A 22,961-nucleotide genomic window follows, 5' to 3' on the forward strand; every position below is an offset into this window, starting at 1 on the left:
AACAGCCGCTGTCATGAGTTTAATCAGTCCTTTCTGCTTGTTAAAACATCTGAATACATATTCAGTTGCATTTATGTATATAACTGTGAGATTTTGAATATTTAAAAATGTATGTAGGCATATATTATTTTATAGTCTTGTTGATGAATAACTGATGCACAATGAAATACATATATTTAAAGTGTATAATTAGATGAGCTTTGATCTCTATATATACCCATTAAACTATCCCCACAATCAAGATAATGAATATATTTGTCATCCCTCCAATATTTTTGTGCTATTTTGCAATCCATCCTTTCGTCCCTTCTGCCCCATCCCTAGGTAACCACTCATCTGCTTTTCTGTCTATAGATTAGTTTGCCTTTTCTGTAATTTTATGTAGATGTGATCATACAGTATGTAACTTTTGTGTGGCTGTTTTCACTTAGCATAATTGTTTTCAGATTCATCCATGTTGTTGCTTATGTTAATAGCTCTTTCTTTTTTATTACTAAGTAGTATTTCATTGTATCAATATACCACAATTTGTATGTTCCAGTCATCTGGTAATGGACATTTGGCTTGTTTCAACTTGGGGCTAGTATAATTAAGGCTGCAATGAACATTTGTGTATACATCTTTGTGTAGACATTGCTTTTATTTCTCTTGTTTGATTGTTGAGAAGTGGATCATAGAGTTTGGGTATATTTAACTTGAAAAACTGCCAACTGTTTTCCAAAGCGGCTGTGCCATTTACGCAGAAGCGCTTAAAAGATTTAGTTGTGTCACATCCTGTTCAACACTCAAGTATGGTCAGTCTTTTAAATTTTAGCTGTTCTAGTGGGTATGGAACACACATTCCAAAGTGCACGTTAGGTTCTTTGCATGGTCCCAGTCTGAGTGAGTGTGGGTGTGTAAGTTCTCCCTGCGGTAGGATGGTGTCCTGTCCAGGGCTGGTTTCTGACTTGTGCGTGAACGTTAATAGGTTCTGGTCACCCGAGATCCTGAACTGGAACAAGTGGGTTGTAAGATGAATGAAGGAATGACTTATAATTATTATGAAATAAAATGCTGGGCAAGGTGCTGCTGGCTCATGTCCGAAATCCCAGCATTTTGGGAGGCTGAGGCAGGAGGATTGCTTGAGCCCAGGAGTTGAAGACTAGCCTGGGCAACAAAGCACAACCCCTGTCTCTACAAAAAATAAAAAAGAAGATAGATGGGCATGGTGGCACACAACTGTAGTCCTAGCTACACTGGAGGCTGAGGTGGGAGGATCTCTTGAATCCGGGAGGTTGAGACTGCAGTGAGCTATGATTGCACCACTTCACTCCAGCCTGAGACACAGAGTGAGACCCTGTCTCTAAAAATTATCATAAAGCATTTACAATAATCATACAAACGCATAAGATACGAGTGGTACAAAAGTGCTTAGCGAGCCCACCGTGTTTTCTTGTTTTTTGTGTGGTGGTAGGAGAGGATCTTTAAAATTTTTGTTTTGCAAACATTTATTTCTTGACTTAACCCACTTCCACTATGACCACATAACTCACTGATTACCAAAAATCCCATAAATAATGATTTTACTTGTTTTTATTAATCTTTCTTAAATTCTGTATAACTCATATTTATTTTGATATTTAATATTAGAAGTGTTTTGTGCCTTTATTTACAAGTTTGATGATGTTCTTGTGACCAGAAACATGCTGTAAAACCTAACTCTTCTTCTCCTGCCTGGGCGATAGAGCGAGACTTCATCTCAAAAAAAAAAAAAACAAAAAACCTAACTCATCTTTATATCAATTAGCCTATGGTAAAATTGGTTTCACTGTACATCATTTTGCTTAAAGTCAAAGTTTCCAGGAACCTAGTGACATTAAGTCAGAACTTACTGTAATTTGATAACTTATATTTATGTTGGCGTGTACATATATATGTATCTGTAAAACCATTATGGCTGTATACATATGATGGGTAATGAGCATGTCCATCATCTCTTAAGGAATTCTCATTTCCGTTTGTAATCTCTTCCTGTCTGCAGGCAGCCACTGATCTTCTTTCTGTCACTATAGAAGAGCATGCAATTTATAGAGTTTTATATAAACAGAATCATACAGTATGTACTTTGTTTTGATCTGGTGTCTTTCACTCAATAATAATTTTGAATATCATTCATGTTATCACATGCATAAGTAGTTCTTCTTTTGTATTCTAAGTAGTAGTCTATCATATGGATATATCATGATTTGTTTATTCATTCACTTGTTGATGAAAATTACATGTTTACCCATTAAGTTATCAGTTCTGGATCTTTTTAGTTCCTTGCAGGGATCCAAATATTCACCTTGTATCATTTTCTTTCTGCCTAAAGGACTTCCTTTAACATTTCTTGCAGTGATGAATGCTAGTGATTAATTTTTTCGCTTTTGTATTCCTGAAAATAATTTTTTTATTTCACCTTTGTTTTGAAAGAAATTTTCACTAGGTATAGAATTATGGATTGATAGTTTGTTTCTGTTGCTGCACTTGTTTTTTTTTCTATTTGTAAATCTGCTGTCATACTTATCTTTATTTCTGCGTATATGATGGATATTTTGTTCTGGTTGCTTTTAAGATTTACTCTTTATCACTGATTTTGAACAATTCAATTCTGATGTTCCTTCATGTAGTTTCATCATGTTTCCTGTGCTTGGGTTCTTTGAGCTTCTTGGATCTGTGATTTCATAGTTTGTGTCAAAGTTGTATTGCTGGAGGGCTCAGGAGGGTCTCCGGATGCTGGTGAGTCTCCAGCCCCAGCCAGTGTCCACGTTCTTGACACCATCACGAGAAAGAATTCAGGGACAAGTCAGAGTGAAGTGAAAGGCAGGAAGTTTTTATTGCAAAGCAACAGTAGACACTTAAGGGAGAAGTATTGTCTCTCTTTATTTTGAAGTCCTGGGGTACGTGTGCAGGATGTGCAGGTTTGTTACATAGGTAAATGTGTGCCACAGTGATTTGCTGCACCTGTCAACCCATCACCTAGGTATTAAGCCCAGCATGCATTAGCTATTTTTCCTAATGCTCTCCCTCCCCCACCTCACCCCTGACAGGCCCCAAATGTGTGTTGTTCCCCTCTCTGTGTCCCTGTGTTCTCAGTGTTCAGCTCCCACTTATAAGTGAGAGCATGCAACATTTGGTTTTCTGTTCTTGCATTAGTTTGCTGAGGATCATGGCTTCCAGCTCATCCATGTCCCTTCAAAGGATATGATCCCATTCTTTTTTATGGCTGCATACTATTCCATGGTATATATGTACCACATTTTCTTTATCCGTTATATCATTGATGGACATTTAGGTTGATCCCATGTCTTTGTTATTGTGAGTCTATAAGGAGCTTAAACAAATTTACAAGAAAAAACAAACCCCCATTAAAAAGTGGGCAAAGGACATGAACAGACACTTCTCAAAAGAAGACATTCTTGCAGCCAAAAAACATATGAAAAAAAGCTCAACATCACTGATCATTAGCAAAATGCACATCAAATCCTCAACGAGATACTGTCTCTCATGCTAGTCAGAATGACGATTATTAAAAAGTCAAGAAATAACAGGTGCTGGCGAGGTTGCAGAGAAATAGGAATGCTTTCACACTGTTGGTAGGAATGTGAATTAGTTCAACCATTGTGGAAGACGGTGTGGAAGATCTCGAAGATCTAGAACCAGAAATACCATTTGACCCAGCAATCCTATTGCTGGGTACATACCCCCCAAAATAGAAATCATTCTATTACAAAGATACATGCACCCGTATGTTCATTGCAGCATTATTTGCAATAGAAGTGCTCTCTCTTAAGAGAGAAGGGCATGCTTGTAAGAATGAATCACACACAAGAGAATTTTGGTTTCTAGTTTTATGAGCGTTTCTTTAGTTAGGAAGTGAAATAGTCATAAGGTATTCTGGAAAAGGACAGGATTATAGGGACCTCCGAGTTATCACCCCCTTTCTCCTTTGTTTGGATGTGCGCAAGGGTCATGGACATGTCTCCTGGATCAGCATTTTGGCTGTTTTCTCTCCCTTAGTTTAGGTTTACTGTTATCCTTTGGTTTCTTTGCCTAGTTCCTGTTTTAACTGCTGTTTGGGTCTTTCCAGCCTCCTGTGACTACCCAGTGCTATTCCTATCTCAGTTGGAAATTTAAAAATCATGATTTCTTCAAACATTTTTTCTGCCCCTTATCCTCTGTTTAGAAACAAATAGAGGATAAGAGCTAAGTCTCTAAAGTTATTTTTTCTCTCTGTGTTTTTGTTTAAGATAGTTTATACTGTGCTGTATTCAGGCTCATTTTTTTTTATCTTATGCAATGTGTAATCTACTTTTAATCCCACCTAGTGTATTTTTATCTTAAATATTGTAGTTTTCAACTCTAAAAGTTCATTTTGGATCTTCTTATATCTTCTACATCTCTACTTAATATGTTTAATCTTTCACTTGTTGAACATACGGAGTACTTAGTAAACTGTCCTTTTCTGTTAATTATAGTATCTTTGCAAGTTTGGGTCAGTTCTGAAGTGTTGATTTATCTCCTTTTTATGGGTCATATATATATATGTATTTTTTTGAGATGGAGTTTTGCTCTTGTTGCCCAGGCTGAAGTGCAATGGTGCGATCTTGGCTCACTGCGGTCTCCTTCTCCCAGGTTCAAGCAATTCTCCTGCCTCAACCTCCTGAGTAGCTGGGATTACAGGCGCCCACCACCATGCTGGGCTAATTTTTATATTTTTAGTAGAGATGAGGTCTCACCATGTTGACCAGGCTGGTCTTGAACTCCTGACCTCCGGGTGAGCCACCCACCTTGGCCTCCCAGAGTGCTGGGATTACAGGCATGAGCCAATGTGCCCGGCCTTATAGGTCATATTTTACTGCTTCTTTGATGGCCTAGAAAATTTCAATTGAATGCTAGACATTGTGAATTTTACCTTGTTGGGTGCTAGATATTATTTTTGTGTTTCTAGATATTAATATTTTGTGTTTTTATAACTAGTCGAGCTGTGTGCTGGGATGTGATTAGGTTACTTGAATACAGTTTGATCCTTTCAGATTTTCTTTCAAGATGGGTTAGGCGGGAACAGAACAGCATTTATCCCTCTACTAAGGCAAGACACTGTGTACTCTACCAATGCTCCATGAAATATGAAGTTTTCCCACCTGACTGGTGAAAACTGCTCCTGGCCCTGTGTGAGTACTGGGACTTTCCTGTCTCTCTTTAATGTGCTTATGCTCTTCTCTACCTTCTTTAACATATAAAATAAATTAATCATAACCATTTAATGTCTGCTAATTTTATCATATGTATACTTTCTAGGCCTGTTTCTGTTGATTGCTTTTTCTTTTCATTATGAATAATATTTTCCCGCCAATTTTCAAGGCTGGTAATTTTTTAATGGATGCCAGACATTTTGAATTTAACCTTGCTGGGTTTGATCATATTTTAATATTTATTTAAATGTTCTTGAATTTTTTTCTGGGACACAGTTAAATTACTTGGACACGGTTTCATTCTTTTGAGGCTTCCCTCAAAGCTTTGTTAGGCATGTCCAGACAAAGCGGGCAGGCTTTAGTCTCAGTTAATTTGAACTTATTATTGAGGAAATATTCGTTTGAGTACTCCATATGCGTTACAAGGTTGTTCCACTCTGGCTGGTGGAAACATAAATGATTCCTGTCTTTGGGTGAGCTTTGGACATCATTCCTTCTGTTCTTTTCCACATATTGAGTAATATCCTTACATGTATGCACTGATCGGTACTCAGCTAGTGACGTCAGGGCAATCTTCTGCGGGTCTCTGGAGCTCTCGCTGTCTCTCTGTAAAGCTCTCTTTTTCCCTACAACTGTCTCCTCTCTGATACTCTTGCCTACATATCTGTGTTAGTGTTCCTAAATTTTCAACTTGGTTTTCTCAACTCAGGTGAACGCCAGTCTCTGTTGGGTTCTGCTTCTTTGTGCTGCAGCTATGCCCTTACTATGCCCCTTAGTAAACTGGGGCAATTCTAAGACTCAGCTCATTTCACCGCTTTTCTCAGACACGACTATCTAGTGCTGTCTGTTATCCAATGTGTAACAAACAATGCTTTGTATATTTTGTCTGATTCCTAAGTTGTTTAATGCGGAAGGGTGTATCTGAATCTTGTACTTCATCTTGGCTGGAAGTGGACAGAAGTCAATCTAGCCTTTGACTTTTGCCACCTATGTAAGAGTCCACAAATAATAGCATAGTGTTTAAGAGCATGGGCTCTGGTTACTAATTTGAGTATCATTCCTTTTTATTTATGTAACCTCTCCTTAATCTGTACCATGGAGCTAATAATTATATCTCTTCACATAATTATGACAGGGAGCATTTGAGTCAACTCCTAAAAACATAATTAGCCTAGTGCCAGACCCACAGGAAGTACCCAACACATGTCAGCTTTTATTAATAATTAAGCACTTTTACATGAGTGCTCTGGATATTTTTCAAAAAGCATCTTAATATTTTGGTGGATTTCTGAAATGCCATTACTGGGCCAATGCTTGGCTGTTTTAAATTTTTTTCTAGTCTCTTGTCCTTGGATCTTTCAAATCTGTAGCTATTAATACATGGCAGGCAGCCCTGCACACCTATGGCCACATTTCCACCTGTTCCCTGCAGCCAAGGAGAGGCCACATTAGTGCATCCACTGACTGTGCTCCTGATTAGGAGGGAAGGGGGCAGGTGATCCATGGAAGGACAGGGGCTAGAAAATCAAGTGTGAAACTCAGAGCCTTAAGCGAGTTTGTCAGCTTGGTCAATGGAAGATAATCCTCTGGTGGTTCCCAGCCCAGGCTATACATCAGAGTCACCCAGGAGGCATGCCATTGGACAGCAATCCCATTCTAGGAAAGTCTGATTCAGCTGTAAGAGGCAGAATCCTAGGATCTGTACCCTTTAAGCACCCTAGATGACAGCCAGGTTTGCCTTCTAACAATTCCTCACACCTGGTAGCACCTTGGATCTCTGTCCCCCAAACCCCATCTCAGGATCACCAGGCAAACTTTGAGAAATAGCAGTCCTGAAGCTCCATTCTCAGGGATTCGGGTGAACAAGTGCTATAGGTGATTCTGAAGAGCAGCTTGAGTTGACATCCATTTGTATAGGACAGAGTTTCTCAGGCTTTAACTTGCATCAGAATCACCTGGAGGACCTGTTGAAATAGATTGCAGGGCCCCATTCCCAGAGTTTCTAATTCATACATAGCTCTGGAGGACCTGATAATTTACATTTCAAACAAGCTTCCAGTGATGCTGATGTGCTAGACTGGTGGACGGCACTTTGAGAATGACTGGTTTGGAGTTTCAGAGTTCACAAGGCACTTGTACCTTCATTTTCTCTGTTAACCCTGAAGTCAAGCCTGCAAGGAGCCACAATGAGCCCTGACTTACGGGAGCAAGAGATAGAGGCTTAGGTGAAGTCACTTACCCAAGCTTTTCAGTCCTTCAGCCAAGAACCGTCTCACACTGACTGGGCGTGACAGCATCCTGGTGCAAGGAACTCAGCTTAAGGTGCTAACACTGCAGGTGGCTGTGGATGAACTCGGCCCTGTTACCTGTCACCAGATAATCCAGAAATCTGCTTTCTCCCAGAAACTCAAGCTAGGAAATTCTCCAGATTATCCTATTGGTGAATGTGGCTAAATCCTGGCCACCTTCCCAAGGAGTCTGTACTGCCGCTCCTGGTAGGTTCCACCCAAACCCTCCTGGGCCCCTTGAATCCTCTTCTCTGTCCCAGCCCATACCAGAGGCTCATTCATCCTTCATGCAGTTAATAGGGTGCGTTGGAGCCTCACTCTGTGCACCCTGGTCCAGGAATATCTGCCCTGTTTGCATATCTGGAGCCTTCAATGCAGCCAACACTGGCTCACTCTGAGAGGTGAGAGAATCACTGCTGTGCCCCGGCCCAAGTGGAGGAGGGTGGGGAAGGGAGGGCAGGACCCAGGGAGATTTCATGCAGCGGTGAACATTTAAATTTAATGATCCTCCTCAGTTTTGAAGTCCATTGGCCAGGAGTCTGTGTATTGTTTTTGTAAGTGTGTGTGCTATGTTGTAGGAGGAAGGAATATGACTTTCCTCAGACTTACACTCTTGCTGCTGCTATCTGTCTTTGAAAATGGGGACAAAATTGATTATTTTCTTTATCCTTGTTTGCATCAATCACCCAGGCCATCGTCATCTCTTGCACTGTAATTTTGATATGGCTTTTTGCATCTTCTGCTCCAATTCCATCCACTCCTCTCCACCTCCAGGGGCTCTTTCAGGGTGTCTCTGGAATGCTTGGTTCATCCTCAGCATGTTTCTGCACCTCTTTAACCCTTCCCTTCACCCTCCTGCTCTTACTGAAACCTGGCTCTGCCTGAGAATACTGCTTTATCTCAGTCCTTTCCAGGGGTGGCTGTCTTTTTTCCTCCCTTAACCCTTATGTCACAGGGCCCAGGGATGGAGTAAGGTCCTCCTCGATGCTTCCAGATCATTCTTCCTCCTCCAATTCACTGCTGTAGCTCCAACTCCCGCCGCCCTCTAGTGTGTCCTCTTAATGGCAGTCATTCACCATCTTCCTGTCCCTCCCCTTCATTTCTTGGATGGTGACTGTCACTTTGCTGCAACAGAACCCTGTCCCAATCCTTGATGGTTCAATACACACATAGACATTCTTTTTAACAGGGCGGCCTCTCAGGTCTTTAATTTTCTTCCCTCCAATAACCTTGTGATGATCCCCCAGCTTAGCCACTTACTGCCAGATCATTACCAGTAACTCCAGCCCCTCCTTAATTCTAGTTTCTAATATCCTAATCTGTGACCTCACATTCCAACTTCTTCATTCTTATCCCCTGAGTCAAAAAATCCTTTGATCCATGCAATCCATTAAGTCATCTACCTTTTCACCATTCTTCGCCCCACTAGGGTTCTCATTCCTTTATTACCCAGATGAAATTCCAAGGCCTGTTGGAATCACTCCCTTGCAGCCACTGTCAATACTTCTGCCCCTTTTACTTCATCACCCTTATGTGGCAAAACCACAGCCCTGGTTGAGTCCAGCCTTACCCCTGCTCTGTGCCAGCACCCGCACACGCATGGCTGATGGAGGTTGGAAAAATCCACACATGCACAGGGCCCTGTATGTCAATATACGTTTCCAACCTCCAGCCTTGCATATGCCTCAGTGCTGCCTGGCAACACATTATATGTTTTCCTTAGTTCCTTCAGTCTCCTGGGTTCCTAGGTGAGTATCTCACACATTCTTCTCTCTCTGCAAACCTCCAACACCTCCACGTCACTTTCAACTGATGACTTTGTTTCCTATTTCACTTGAAACACAGAGGCAAACATAAACAAATCCCACCCACTGCCACCACTCTGCCCATCTGCCAGCATGGCACCCCCCAATCTAGGCCTTTCCTGCTGTCACTTGGGGTGGGCTGACTATACTCCATCCAAGTCCTTTTTACTTATGCACTCGTATCGTACCCTCTCACCTGCTCAGGACGTGCCTCTAGCAAGTCCTCTCATGCTCCGGCAACATCATGGTTCCTCTTCAGCAGACCAGTTATACTGGCACAAAGCATGCAGCTGTTCCTCCCATCTCCACCACCCTCTCCATCTCTTTCTCACGTTGCTCTATCCTTAATTATAGCAAAACCCATAGGAAGTGTTATAGAGACCCCCCTTTCTGTAATTTCTCCTGTTCTATTTTAAACTTGCCCCCAAAGTACACTTACCAAAGTGGCTGTAGTCTCCGCCACTGCACCTAAACTTCCCTTGCTGAGGTCATCACCAGCCTGCACGTGGCCAAACCCACTGCTGTCTCTGCTCTCCTCTTATTTGACTTTTGAGTCATGTGAGCACATAAATGATCCAAACGGCAACACTCCTAAGAAATGGTTGTACCTGGACAAGAGGCATAAATTGGGGCCGTCTTAGGAAAGCAGATATACAGCCATCCTACCTTTAGGCACTCACTGTTGGATGCAATTGGTCACTCTTCCTTGGGACCTTTCCGCCATTGGCTCCACTATACGCACTCTCCTGGTTTCCTCCCCTCTAGCCGCTGTCTTTGGTCTCCTTTCTGATTTTGCTGCGTCCTCTGTCCCCTGAATGATTGCTTCTCCACTACGGGGTGATTTTGCTCCCCAGGGGACATTTGGCAATATCTGGAGAGGTCTATGGTTGTGTTTGAGGGTGTTGCTACTGCCATCTAGTGGGGAGAGGCTAGAGATGCTGTTAATGCCCAGGACAGTCCCCATAACACAGAATTATTCAGCTCAAAATATCCATGGTGCCAAGATCAAGAAACCCTGCTCAAATATTAGCATGTGCTGAAGGCCCTTCTCTTTCCTTTAGCAATATCTGCCTCCTTAGGGATCTTTTCTAGTCTCAGTGGTTTAACATTTAAAATCCCAAATTAGGCAATAAATTGGGCCCCAAACTTCGTTAGTATAAAATGTAGAACTGTGTTATTAGAAGGCTAATAAAATGACCTGGTGAGCATCTGCAGCTAGCCTCTGAGCAATTCTGGGGACCACGTGCAAGATAAATCCATCTGTTCCCTCTCTGTAATGTGGCGCTACCTTGTGGCCGATTTTTCCTCGGGTTAAATATCTCTGGGGATGCAACTTGTCGTGGTTAATGGCTGTGTGAGGCCAGCGCGTGGTGATAAAGGAATCAATCAAGACAATATTGAATTTAGAAAGGCAGATTTATTTAGAGAAAAGGAGAGATACGTTGCAAGGGAGCAATGGGCAATACAGCAGAGGGAAGGCTGTCTGCAAAGAGGCAAGGGCTACGTATGACGTAGGGCTGCTTAGGCTGAATGCTTGCAGACAAGATGCTTGCGTGCAGGTGGGCTGTGAGCTGAGTGCTTGGGTGCTAGTGAGCCATTGGCAGCTGACCCTATTTCTTGGAACATTCGCTCCCTGCAAGCATTTTAATGTTAAACCGCCAGGTCAGTTTGAATTTTCTTTTTTCTTTTTTTTTTTTTTTTTTTGCCTTTAGTAGGACCTGCCGTTGTGAGACTATCTGAGGTAAATTAGACACCCTCCTGGTTTAAGTCACCGCTCCAGTGACTAGGCAGGGAGCTCTTCCTTGAAGAGGGTGTGGGCAGTGGGTACTTTGCATGTTGTCCACACCAGGCGAGCTGCTGCTTCAGGGCCTTTGCATTTGCTCTTTTCTTTGCCCAAAATGCACTTCTCTCACTGTTCACATGATTTTTCTCCCTCTTTTCCTTTTAGTCTTTGCTTAAATATCACCTTCTAGGGAGGCCTTCCCACACCACCTCTTCAAGATTTGAGGGTATGCACCCCCACCCCTAGCCTTCTTATCCCTCTCCACTGCTTTCTTCTCAAAGCACTTGTTACGTTCAAATAAAATAGATTAGTTACTTTATAGTTCTAATTTTACTATTTTTTGTTTACTTCATCAATACCCATGTAATCTCTGGAAGGAACGTTTCTTTTTGTAGTGTATTTCTAGCACCTAGAACAGTACTTGGCACATGGCAGGTGTTCAAAAGTATTTGTTGATTATTTTCTCAAAGGGCATGGAGTCTTAGAAGTTTGAGAACACAGTTCTAAGCACAGCTGTTTAGAGACTATGGATGATGCTAATGGCTGTATTCCCAGTAGGTGGGGCAATTCTCAAATTGACCTGGAATCCTTGAGATCTGGGGACAGTCACCAAGCACTGGGCTCTGTGGGGAGAGATGTGCTGGTTTTTAGAGAGGAGAATAGCATCCTGGGGGACTTGGCCCCAGGGCTTTCCTGTCCCAATCTCTTCCCAACTGAGTCCCAGAGGCAGGAGGCCTTGTCTGTAGCTGGTCAGTCCTGTAACTGTTTCCCTCCCATCTACACAGATGCAAAGAAGGCTGAGAAAAGCAAGCTGTCAGGTGAGCAGGGGCCCTGACTCCTCCCCAGAAGGCACTCAGAACTTCCATAGGGCAACTGGAAAGAAGGTTCTACTTCCTCACCGGCAGCTGTTGCTGGGGAAAAAACCAGCCTCAGGCCCTACCCTGTGCTGAGAACCTGAATCCAGTATCAGGTTCTCCAACAAACTTGGATCCAGCTGACCCTCACAAGGGGTCAGATGCAACCTTGTAGCATATGGAAAATGGCAGCAAGGTCCTTGTGTGGACTATGCCTAGAATCTAAATTAAGACAAGGCCTCAGAGGGGCTAAGTGACATCTGTCTCCAAAGTTTCACAGCTAGTGTGTGACTAAATCTTGATTCCACCCTCTCAGGTTTTACCATAATCCCAAAAAAGGTTGAAACAAGAAAAGTTATCTTTGGGCAATTACCTCTTTCTGTTCCTTGCTTTACCTACTAATGTTCTAGGCTCACCCTCTGGTCTGCAATCTCACTGAACTGACAGATCCCTCATGGCCTAAAGGGTTTTCACACTGGGTTGACTAGGCTCTCCCATTGCCTGTCCTACTGTCTAAGGCACCTCCTGGGTAGGGTGCCCAGCGTCATTCTGATGCTGCCTGACTTTCCTTCCAGCTACTTTTGAAACTTGGTATCCATGGCAGAGGCTTAAAGGGCATGTTCCAGGTACTTTTATTTCCAAATTCCCCAGTGGCATCAAGGAAATCAGCATCTCTGGATAGCTCTACTAAGGCTTAGTTCTCATTGTCCAATCTAGCTCCTGGGTCATGGGAGGCATTCAGGAAATATTTGAGTGTAAGAGTGAGTTGCTTTACCTCCAGAATATCCTTCCAATGGCTCTGAAGCAGGCTGTGGAGTCCTGCTGGCTGATCACAGTTCACAGGTGGCTCCCAAACCTGTGGTCTACATCCATCCTTTGTCAGTGTCACTGCCATTGTCCCACAAATGTCATTTGGGCCTAGCCCCTGGGATAGTAATCAGTCTTTACATAGATATACATTGTGCTTTACATCCACAGTAATTCTGAGTGGACCTTAAAATAAATTCCATGTCAGGTCTCACCAGCCCATGGGTTACAGATGGGGTTACCTTTCAGCCTTGTAAGGTGCCCCGTCTTTGAGTGTAGACATGGACTCACAACGAGTCCACTCCTGCTGTTCCTCTGCTCTTGCTGAGGCTTCTGCTGCTGCTGCTGCTGCTTTGCAGAGGCTGGCCAGCTGTGGTGCCTGAGGCACCTGTGTCTTCACAGCACCAACTTGCATGGTGGCCACGGTGTAGTTGGAAAGGGATGCTTAGATGGGAGGCCAATGGGAGCTGCTTCAGGAGGCAAATCCAAGTCACAGAGATCGAGTCACCGAGAGCATAGTAAACTCAAAATCCCTTCTTCTGCTTAATAACTGAGATGCTGTCACTGGGTTAACCTCACCAAGCCTTGTTTTGTCTTCACTTAGAGTGATTTCTGTCTTAGAAGGCTCCTCATATCCTTCTGGGGAAGGCTTCTAGTGAGTCCACAGATAGCTGGACCAGGCATGTCCAGAAATAATCTGATTCTCACATTTGAGTTAGCCAGCGTTCCCAGCTATATCCCCATTTTGTGTCTATATAAGTTACCAAAGCCCACAAGGATATTAGGTGGCTCCTTAGTTTGCTTTATGATTATGCCTTGTGTGTGTGTGTGTGTGAGTGTGTACGCCTATGAGGATTCCTTCTCTCCCGTTCTTGCTATGGCTTCTCTTCCCCACTGATGGGCTGTAGTTCCCTGTCCTTTTGACTTTGGGCTTAGTCATGTGACTTTTTTGCCAAGGGAATGTGGGCAGAAGTAACTGGGAGCCAGTCCCAAGCTAAGGCCTTGGGAAGCATGGTGAGCCTATGCCAGCTCCCTCAGAACTCCTTCCCTTGGCCATGAAGAGAGAATAACCTGGATTGTACCTTCAGCCCATGTCCTAGAATACAAACATGGAGAATAATGAACTTGACTCAAAGGCTGAAGGGCAGCTGAGCCCACATGAGGTCAATTGAACTGCAGCTACCTACAGACCTGAAAGTGAAATAAACATGTATAAGTCTCTGACGTTTGGGGTTTGTTTACATAGCATTATTGTAGCAGAAACTTAAATAATACTGGGGGCTAAATATAGTGGACCAGTGACAGCACAGAATGGTAAAATGGAGTGATTGTTACTTACATCACAACCCTTCATCTCTGTTGATGGACACTAAAATCAAAGTGGCAATTACTCAGAGTTGGGAGTCATTGAGTTGCATCATTGTTGTTTAGAATCATTGACAGTTTGAGCTCTAAGTGATTACAGAGATGGTTTCCTCAGCTACAGGTAAATAAACAAAGGCACAGAGAAGTAAAGTGACTTCTAGAGGGCTTCATTGATATTTAGCAGCAGAATCAGAGCTAAACAATGAGTCTCTCATCTCCAGCCTTTCTATTCTTGTTTCCTAGGTTGGGATTTTGGGAAATAGTGCAGAGAGATTAGCAGTAGTGACATGGAACAATGTGAGCCTCAGCTTCCATCCCTGAGGCTGCCTTCATCTGCCAGGGAAATGTCTCTGTGTGCAGCCTTGCCCTCTGCACACAGTGTGTATGGCCACCTGAATAAGTGTCCTTTCATAGCGACTAATGGATTGAAATGGGTGCTAGAGCAGTGCTTCTAAAAACTCCATGTATTAATCATCTAGGGGTCTTACCAAAAACGCATGCAGATTCTGATTCAGTAGGTCTGGAGTGGGGCTTGACATTCTGCACTTGTAACACATGGACCACACTTTGAGTAGCAATGTATTAGATCATTCCAGTGGAAACATGTATGAGTGATGGAATGAACAGATATAATTAATCCAGGTCTGGTAAGTGAGGTACTGATACATATTAAGTTGAAGTGAATTTCACATCAAAAATAATGGTTACACAGTGACTTTTACTGCCCCCAAATTCTTTCCTTTTGAGTGGTTTCAAAGTGAACTGAGCCAGCCAGGTTAAGTCCCTGGTTTAGTGTGTGATTAGAAGATTTGATCCAGCTTTCTCCTCCTTCTAATTCTTTAAATATGCAATGGCCTTCTAGAAACTTGTCTCTCAGGCTCCCCATGAGCCACCTGTCTTAATATCTTCCCCCCCAGGACATTTCCTGGGTCAAGGAAGGAATCAGGGACTAGGAAAAGTAGAAAGGTTGCCTGACAGTGAGAAACTTTTTGCACTCCTATTTGTTCAATTCTAAAATGTGGGTATTGTTGGGGCTTCTAATTGGAATCTAACCTGAAATTCAGGCATGTCTAGCTATATATGACCAAGAATTAGGATGAGTTCACTAGAAGCCTATTTTCAGGAGAGCGGTCAGTTAAATTGAAGTTTATGGGTTTATGGTAATGGGTTGGGGAGTTTACTTCATTAGCAATAGCAACGTTTTTGAATCAGAGAAGTGATTTTGAACACACTGTACATAGTTTTCTCACTTAGATTTATCTCTGGGTCAACCCTTGTTGGACCTATATTAGAATCATTTAGTGAAGAAAAGGTGGGTGTCATTAGGAAAAGAGCCATTTATTCAAATGTTCTGTTTGACATTAGGGCACTGGCAAGACTACAGAATCAATAGATATTTAAAAACAGCCAGGTGCGGTGGCTCACGCCTGTAATCCCAGCGTGATTTGGGATTACTTTGGGAGGCTGAGGCGGGTGGATTGCCTGAGCTCAGGAGTTCAAGACCAGCCTGGTCAACACGGTGAAACCCTATCTCTACTAAAATACAAAAAATTAGCCGGGCATGGTGGTGTGCGCCTATAATCCCAGCTACTCAGGAAGCTGAGACAGGAGAATCGCTTGAACCTGGGAGGCAGAGGTTGCAGTGAGCCAAGATCACACCATTGCACTCCAGCCTGGGTGACAGAGTGAGACTCCATCTCAACAACAAAAAAAAAAAAAAAGTATAGTGAAAAAATGCCCTAAAAAATTCAAAAGCCTAAATGAAAGAGGCCAATACACATCAAGGAAACCGAAATGGCATTCTAGAGTCTCCTTTTTGTAAAAGCCCTAGATGGGGATAATTTTCTGGATGATTATTATCAAACTTTCAAGGAACAGTTAATTTCTTCTATACACAAATTGTTTCAGAAAAAAAGAACAAAAGTTGCCCAACTTACTGTATGAGGTGAGTATAATTTTGGTTTCAGAACCAGAAAAATATAATAGTAATAGACACTATAGTGCCATTTCACTTATGGATGTGACTGAAAACGTTCTAAATAAGGCGTTAACTCTTCAAATCTAACAATGTATTAAAAGTATTTTATGATCCCATAGGATTTACCCTACAAATACAAGAAAGAGTTGGCATTAGAAAATTGGTCTAATTCATTACATTAATAAATAGTAAAAAACCATATGATTATCTCTATAGATGCAGAAAAAGCATTTGATAATGTTCAACATCTATTTATGATGATTTTTTTAAAAAATTAGGACTACTAGGAAAGCATTTTTTTTTAACCTGTGAAAGGCTATATATCACAAATCTATATCAAGCATAAAACCTGACAGAGGAAATTTAAATTTATTCTCCTTAAGATCAGTAACAAGACAGAAATTCTTATTACTATTTAATGTTATAGTGGAGATCCTGGAAAATACTTTGGGATAAAGAGGACTGAGAGATATAAGCATTGGAAAGAAAGATATAAAATTGTCATTATTTGCAGATTATGTTATCAGAACTAAGAAAGATTAATTAAAAACTATGAGAACTAATAAGAGTTCAGCAAGGTTGTTAGAAACAAGGTAACTTAGAAACACCAGCAACATTTCTCTGTCAGCAATAACCAACTAGAATACATGGTAAAGAAACACTACTCATAATAGCAATAAATACTGCATATATCTAGGGATTAACAACCAAAAATACACAAAACCTATATGAACACATTAAAAAATCTTATGTAGATTTTCTGATATAAACATGATATAGAAGAGAATCTGAACAAATGGAGATGTTGCAGGAGAATTGACTCCAGGACTGCCATGGATACCAAAATCTGAGGAGGCTCAAGGGCCTTATATAAAGTGGCATAATATTTGCATGTAACCTAAGCACATCCTCCTGTATACTTCAAATCATCTCTAGATTACTTATAATACCTAATACAGCGTAAATGCTATATAAATAGTTGTTATATTGTATTGCTTAGGGAATAATGACGAGAATAAAAGCACGCACTTGTGCAGTACAGATGCAGCCATTCTTTTTTTCCCAAGTATTTTTCATCCACAGTTAGTTGAATCCACAGTTGTGAAACCCATGAATACAGAGGGCCAACTGTATTATCATGTACTTATATTTCTCCCAAATTAATTTGTAAGTTTAATATGATCCCGCAGTTGAGTTCTTTAAGAAACTCAATAAACTTATTCTGAAGATCTCCAAAAAGCTAAGTCAATTTTGAAAAGAAAGAGTAAGTAGAGAGACATATTAATTAAATCATTAAGTGGGGGACTGATAGCCTTAGGGCTTCGGAATATTGTTTATATTTTCAAAACATTGTCCAAACTCTTATTGTATTTAAATCTTGTGAGTAGTTTAGAAATTCTATTGTTGAATTAAACAAATTTATTATCATATTTTAAGTTTTTCAAATATTTTATCCAATTTGCTTTGAAATGTCTTTAAGAATAGAGAAAACCTAAATTTTTAGGAATTATCTGAAGCCATAAAGGCCTTTGTGTACTTTATATATAAATAGACATACTGTTTTATGGATATTTATTTTCTGGCCAGTATAATAGATAACTTTTTATTAAAGCTGGGAGTCTCAGGTTTATAACGTGATCACTGTTTGTTTTGTTTGGAGAAAACCAAGAAGAAATAAAAAATGTAAATCACCAATTAGGCGATATACTAAAGAATTTCTCCATTTGGATCTGCCTTTCCTGATAATTCTTCTCCTCTTTAGCCTAAATATCTTGTTTGCATGGAAAATTATCAAAACAATCAATATGTCAAACCAAACACTCTAGCAGTCTACTATAATACATTCATTGTGTTTTCTTTTTTAAACTTTATTTTGAAATAATAGTTACTGAAAAAGTTGAATGAACAGTGGAGTTCATATATACCATTCTCCCAGATTCCTCTAATGTTAAAAACTTAACCATAGTATAATGATCAAATCTAGGAAATTAATATTGGTACAATACTATTAATTAAACTACAGAATGTATTAGAATTTCATCAGCTTTTCCTCCTAATATCCTTTTTCTGTTTCAAGATCCAATCAAGAATGCCATGGTTCCATTTGTGTATTTAGTTGTTGTATCTCCTTAGTCTCCTCAAATCTGTGACCATCGCCTGGTCTTTATGACCTTGACAATTTTGAAAGTATTGGTTAGTTGTTTTATAGAATGTTTCTCAGAATAGGTTTGTCTGACATTTTCCTTAATTACATTAGAATTCTGTTTTTGGTAAGAATACTGCAGAAGTCATGTGTCCTTATCAGTGTATCAGATTGGAGTCCAGTATGTCAACAAGCCCTATTACTAGTGACGTTAACCTTGATCACTTGGCTAAGGTGGTGTCTGCTGAGTTTCTTCACTATACAGTTGTTATGTTTCCTTTTGTAATTTATAAATAGCATGAGCTATTTGGAGACTATGTTAATATCCTGTATCTCCTCAAACTTTTGCCCACTGGCTTTGGAATTTATTTTTGGATATTGCCTGTAATGATTATTACTGTGGTTGCTTAATGGTAACGTTGTATTTCCCTAATTCCTTCTTCATTTATTAATTGAAATTTTTCTGTAAGGAAGAGCTGTTATTTCTCCCCCCATTTATTTATGTAACTATTTATTTATATCAGTATGGACTCGTGGGTATTGATTTCCTTCTATGGGTTCTATTACTCTGTTTTAATTTTAAAGTATGAATAAAAGATTACAAGTTTAAAAAGTGCCTGCAAGTACAAAATAAGAAACACATTTCTTTCATGAAATTGAGCTTAAGATGCTAGTTATGGAGTGCCACCATTAATAGCTAAGGGCACGTGGCAAAATTGCTCATTTCCCAGTCTGTGTGGTAGTTGTTGGTACCAGGCTTCGGACCAGTGAAGTAAAGGAACAAGAAAAAGGTGCCTTTTGGCAATAGTGCTATTGGTAGACACAAAGCCATCATGAAAGATGTTTATACAAACAACAGAATTCCAAAGACTAATAAGTAAAAAAGCATTTCCTGTGAATTTATGAATAAACAGATACTAGTATTACTCAGTTAATAACATTGATTGGAATTATTGAAAAGAAATGCTTGGAAGCACATCATTTATTTTGTAAAGAAGTACCAAATAAAACTCCTGCACATGAAGTATTGAAAGTGATAAAATATTGAAACTCTGAAACTAATAAAATATTACAACTCTGTTGGGATCTGTGTACTGGTGGTGTGGCTGCAATGACAGAAAAGTGTAACATTATATTTGTCAATAAAAGAAAGGAAAGAGGTATAGATTTAAAGGATAATTGTACCCTGGAAGCACAATTTAAATGTATCAAACCATCCAGAGTAGTGGCAAGGAAAATTTCATCAGGCAAAAAATGATAAACACGGCGGGGGCGCGGTGGCTCACGCCTGTCATCCCAGCACTTTGGGAGGCCGAGGCGGGCGGATCACGAGGTCAGGAGATCGAGACCATCCTGGCTAACACGGTGAAACCCCGTCTCTACTAAAAATACAAAAAATTAGCCGGGCGTGGTGGCAGGTGCCTGTAGTCCCAGCTACTCGGGAGGCTGAGGCAGGAGAAGGGCGTGAACCCAGCAGGTGGAGCTTGCAGTGAGCTGAGATCGCGCCACTGCACTCCAGCCTGGGCGACAGAGCGAGACTCCGTCTCAAAAAAAGAAAAAAAAAAAATGATAAACACCCTGCCATTTGCTACCACTTACTTGTGTGAACAAAGTTTCTTATTGATGGTGGCATCTGAAGAATTTGAAGAGATAGATCATGGTTTAAAAGGCTTGATTAGACATTTTAAGTGTCAAATCTGTTTTAAAATAAATATCTCACAGAAGCAAGCTCAAGTTTCTCACTAAAAATTTAGAAAAATATTTGGAATATTTATATAAATTCAATATTTAGTGCTTTCCATAATACTTTGTATTTTAATTTTAAAAAATTATACATTTTTCCACAAAACTTATATAACCATTCTTGAATCCCCTCGAGTTTTCCCCAATGTTGAAACAATGCAAAAAGTTGGGGAACATTGGCCTTTGAGTCTAGAACCCAGCCCTCTGGGTCTTGAGAGCAGAGGTGAAGACCTCTTTTTGTGAATTTGTGAGTAACCTTGGATGGTTACATTGAGTAGGAGAAAAAACAGAGGCAATGATGTTAACCACTGTGGACTCCAGACCCTTCCTCAGTTTTCCAGTGGTAGAGAGAACCTCAGTGATGACTGAAATTTACCTTCTCTTTTATAGGTTGGTCACTGTGGGGGACTGAGTGAGCAGACTTAATTTGATTTAGGTAAATGAATGTGACATTTCTTACAGCTGAATGTAAAATGTAGTAACACTACATTATCATGGTGGCAGGAAATAAAGTGCAGGTGGATTGTAGGGCAACAGGAAGTCAAGTGCTCTGGTGACAATGGTGATTTTACAGATGATGGAGCCAGCTGGCTTCTTTGGACAGGTTTGGAGACCATGCAGGAGAGAAAGACAAATTAAAAACTGTGAATATCTCCTTGAGAACAAAGTGGACAATCAGCAAAACTTCATGGCGGAAGGCATCCCTCATTTCTTGCAGTTCCAGGGAAGAAATAAATGAAAACGAAGCTTAGTGCTTCCTGCTAAGGGCTACAGTTGTACAGGACCGATTAATCACTTAACCTGCCAGGTTTGTTATGCCGAAGTCAGGGCACTGATGGGGAAGGAGTTGACTCTGAGACACCATATGGGGACGTTTGATCAGGCATATATGAGTTGAGAACTTTGAACCTTCGTATGTCCTTGAGGCTCCATTGACAACTGAGGTAGACAATCACTCTCCTTTCCCACTGCATGTGAAGCATTTGAGTGTCTGCACCTGAGCCAAGTTGCCTCACAGGCTAATAAGAGGTCTCCTCATGACCCCCATGGAGCACTGACAGGGAATTTACAAGGCTACTGTGAAAGGAAATGGCCTAAACTCCAAAAAGTTAAAGAAACTCGTCAACCGGATATTGTTCATGGAAATATATTCTAAATGTGTTCAACCAAGATTGGGCTGAATTTGTCAATAAGGGTGGGCCCATCTGGGATTTGGGATGCAATGAATTGATTTGAGTACCTGGAGGTAATGTTAGTTTATTGTCTGCTAGGTTGACTAATGGATGCTTAGATATGGTGGTGGTTTACAGTCAGTAAGGCTGAAATACTATAATTTCTTCGACATAATGTAATGATCCTTAAAATTGGAGCTTTAAAAAACATTGATGCTTGAGTGACTCCCTGGAGATTCTTATTTAAGTGGTTTGTGTTGCCATGTGGACAGAGGGATTTAAAGAATGTCCTTAGGTGATTTTCACATGTTGCTAAGGTTGAGTGATTTCTGTAAAGGAAAATCAGGGATGAAGATGCTGGAGTACATCTATTATGTGCAATCCACATAGCTGTCCATTAATCACACACCTCAGGATGACCAAGGGACTAAGAAGAAATGTATTGGCGAGGGGCACACCGGCATCCAGGAGAGCTCACTGGTAGCTTCCCTCTCTAGGCTGGAGGTGATGGTGTGGGTGCTGCAGCAGGTTTTCAGCTTTGATAGGAATTAACAGGATTGCAGAGTGGAGGAGGCCAGATGGTGGCACCTCTCATCATAAACAAGGTGAGTGAAATGATCACAGTTAACCACAGGGGCAGGATACCAAATAGAGTATTTGAACTTCAGGACCCCGTGGCAATGACAAATTCATCTCAGGGTCTGTAGAAATGAAATACATGGAAAAGCTTCTAAGGTGCTGCTTAACACATATGGGAGGAAGATTTTTAGGTCTGGTGTACAGAAAAGAACTCAAATTACTGTGGTGGAAATGTATAGCTTTTTACCCAATTTCCAGGTCTAAGGAAGATCGAAGCCCTGGATTCCTAAGATGAAGGCCAGGTCCATTTGAGGAGGAACTTTGCATAGTGGCATGTTATGGTCTGAATTTTGTCCCCCCTCTTAATTCATACGTTGACGCCCTAAACCCTACTGTGATTACTTGGAAATAGGGTGTTTCAAGGGGTAATTAAGGTAAAATGAGGCTATAAAGTGGGTCCCTAATCCAATGTGACTTTGCAATGTGAGGAAGAGACACCAGGGATGCACACAGGGTCATGTGAGAACAGAGAGAAGGCGGCCACCTGTGAGCCAAGGAGAGAGCCCTTAGGAGACACCAAAACTATTGACACCTTGATCTTGGACTTCCAGCCTCCAGAATGGTGAGAAATGAAGTTCTGTTCTTTCAGCCACCCAGCCTGTGATATTTTGTTATGGCAGCCTGAGCAGACTAATACATGGTGACTGGTATATAGTAAGAATCTTTCTCCAAGACTTTGCCAGACATACTTATGGCCATTTATCAGGGCTATGCAGTGGGAGAGCGAAATAGTATCTGGGGGTTTCAGATACTGCCTCTGTATTGATGGAAATCTCCAGGGGCAAAAAAATGCCACAATGGTCCATCAATCACAGCAGAGGATTATAAAGCAGAGGAGACAGATGAACTCTGGGACTGATTTTGTCTAAAGAGGCAGCCTGAGATTATTTCTTTGGGCTCAAAATGTACAGTGCAACAAGATAAATTTAGTGACTGGCAGGATGTCCACATTGGGTTCCTTCTTATAAAGTGAAAGTTGTTATGGAGAGAGGGTCAAGGGGAAGCCCCTAGAATTTCTCCTGACCCTCTGCCAAGATGATAAACCAGAAACCCAAAGCAAAACTCCGTCCCTGGGGGAGTGACTAGAGTTAGTGTCACCGTCACAGACTTGAAAGATATTAGGGTATTAATTTCATATCCCTACTTAATTTGCCTATTCTGCTGGTACAGA

The 22,961-nt window shown here is 41.0% G+C and overlaps 1 annotated feature.

Moving 5' to 3' along the window:
* Positions 10,266-10,315: a silencer, noted in NCBI's record as "silent region_11877". NCBI's record gives its function as "represses an Ori minimal core promoter by ATAC-STARR-seq in GM12878 lymphoblastoid cells {active_cell/tissue: GM12878}" and the evidence as "EXISTENCE:reporter gene assay evidence [ECO:0000049][PMID:35858748]".

This window comes from Homo sapiens, chromosome 2 (genome assembly GCF_000001405.40).
Source record: "Homo sapiens chromosome 2, GRCh38.p14 Primary Assembly".
Classification (NCBI taxonomy): domain Eukaryota; kingdom Metazoa; phylum Chordata; class Mammalia; order Primates; family Hominidae; genus Homo; species Homo sapiens.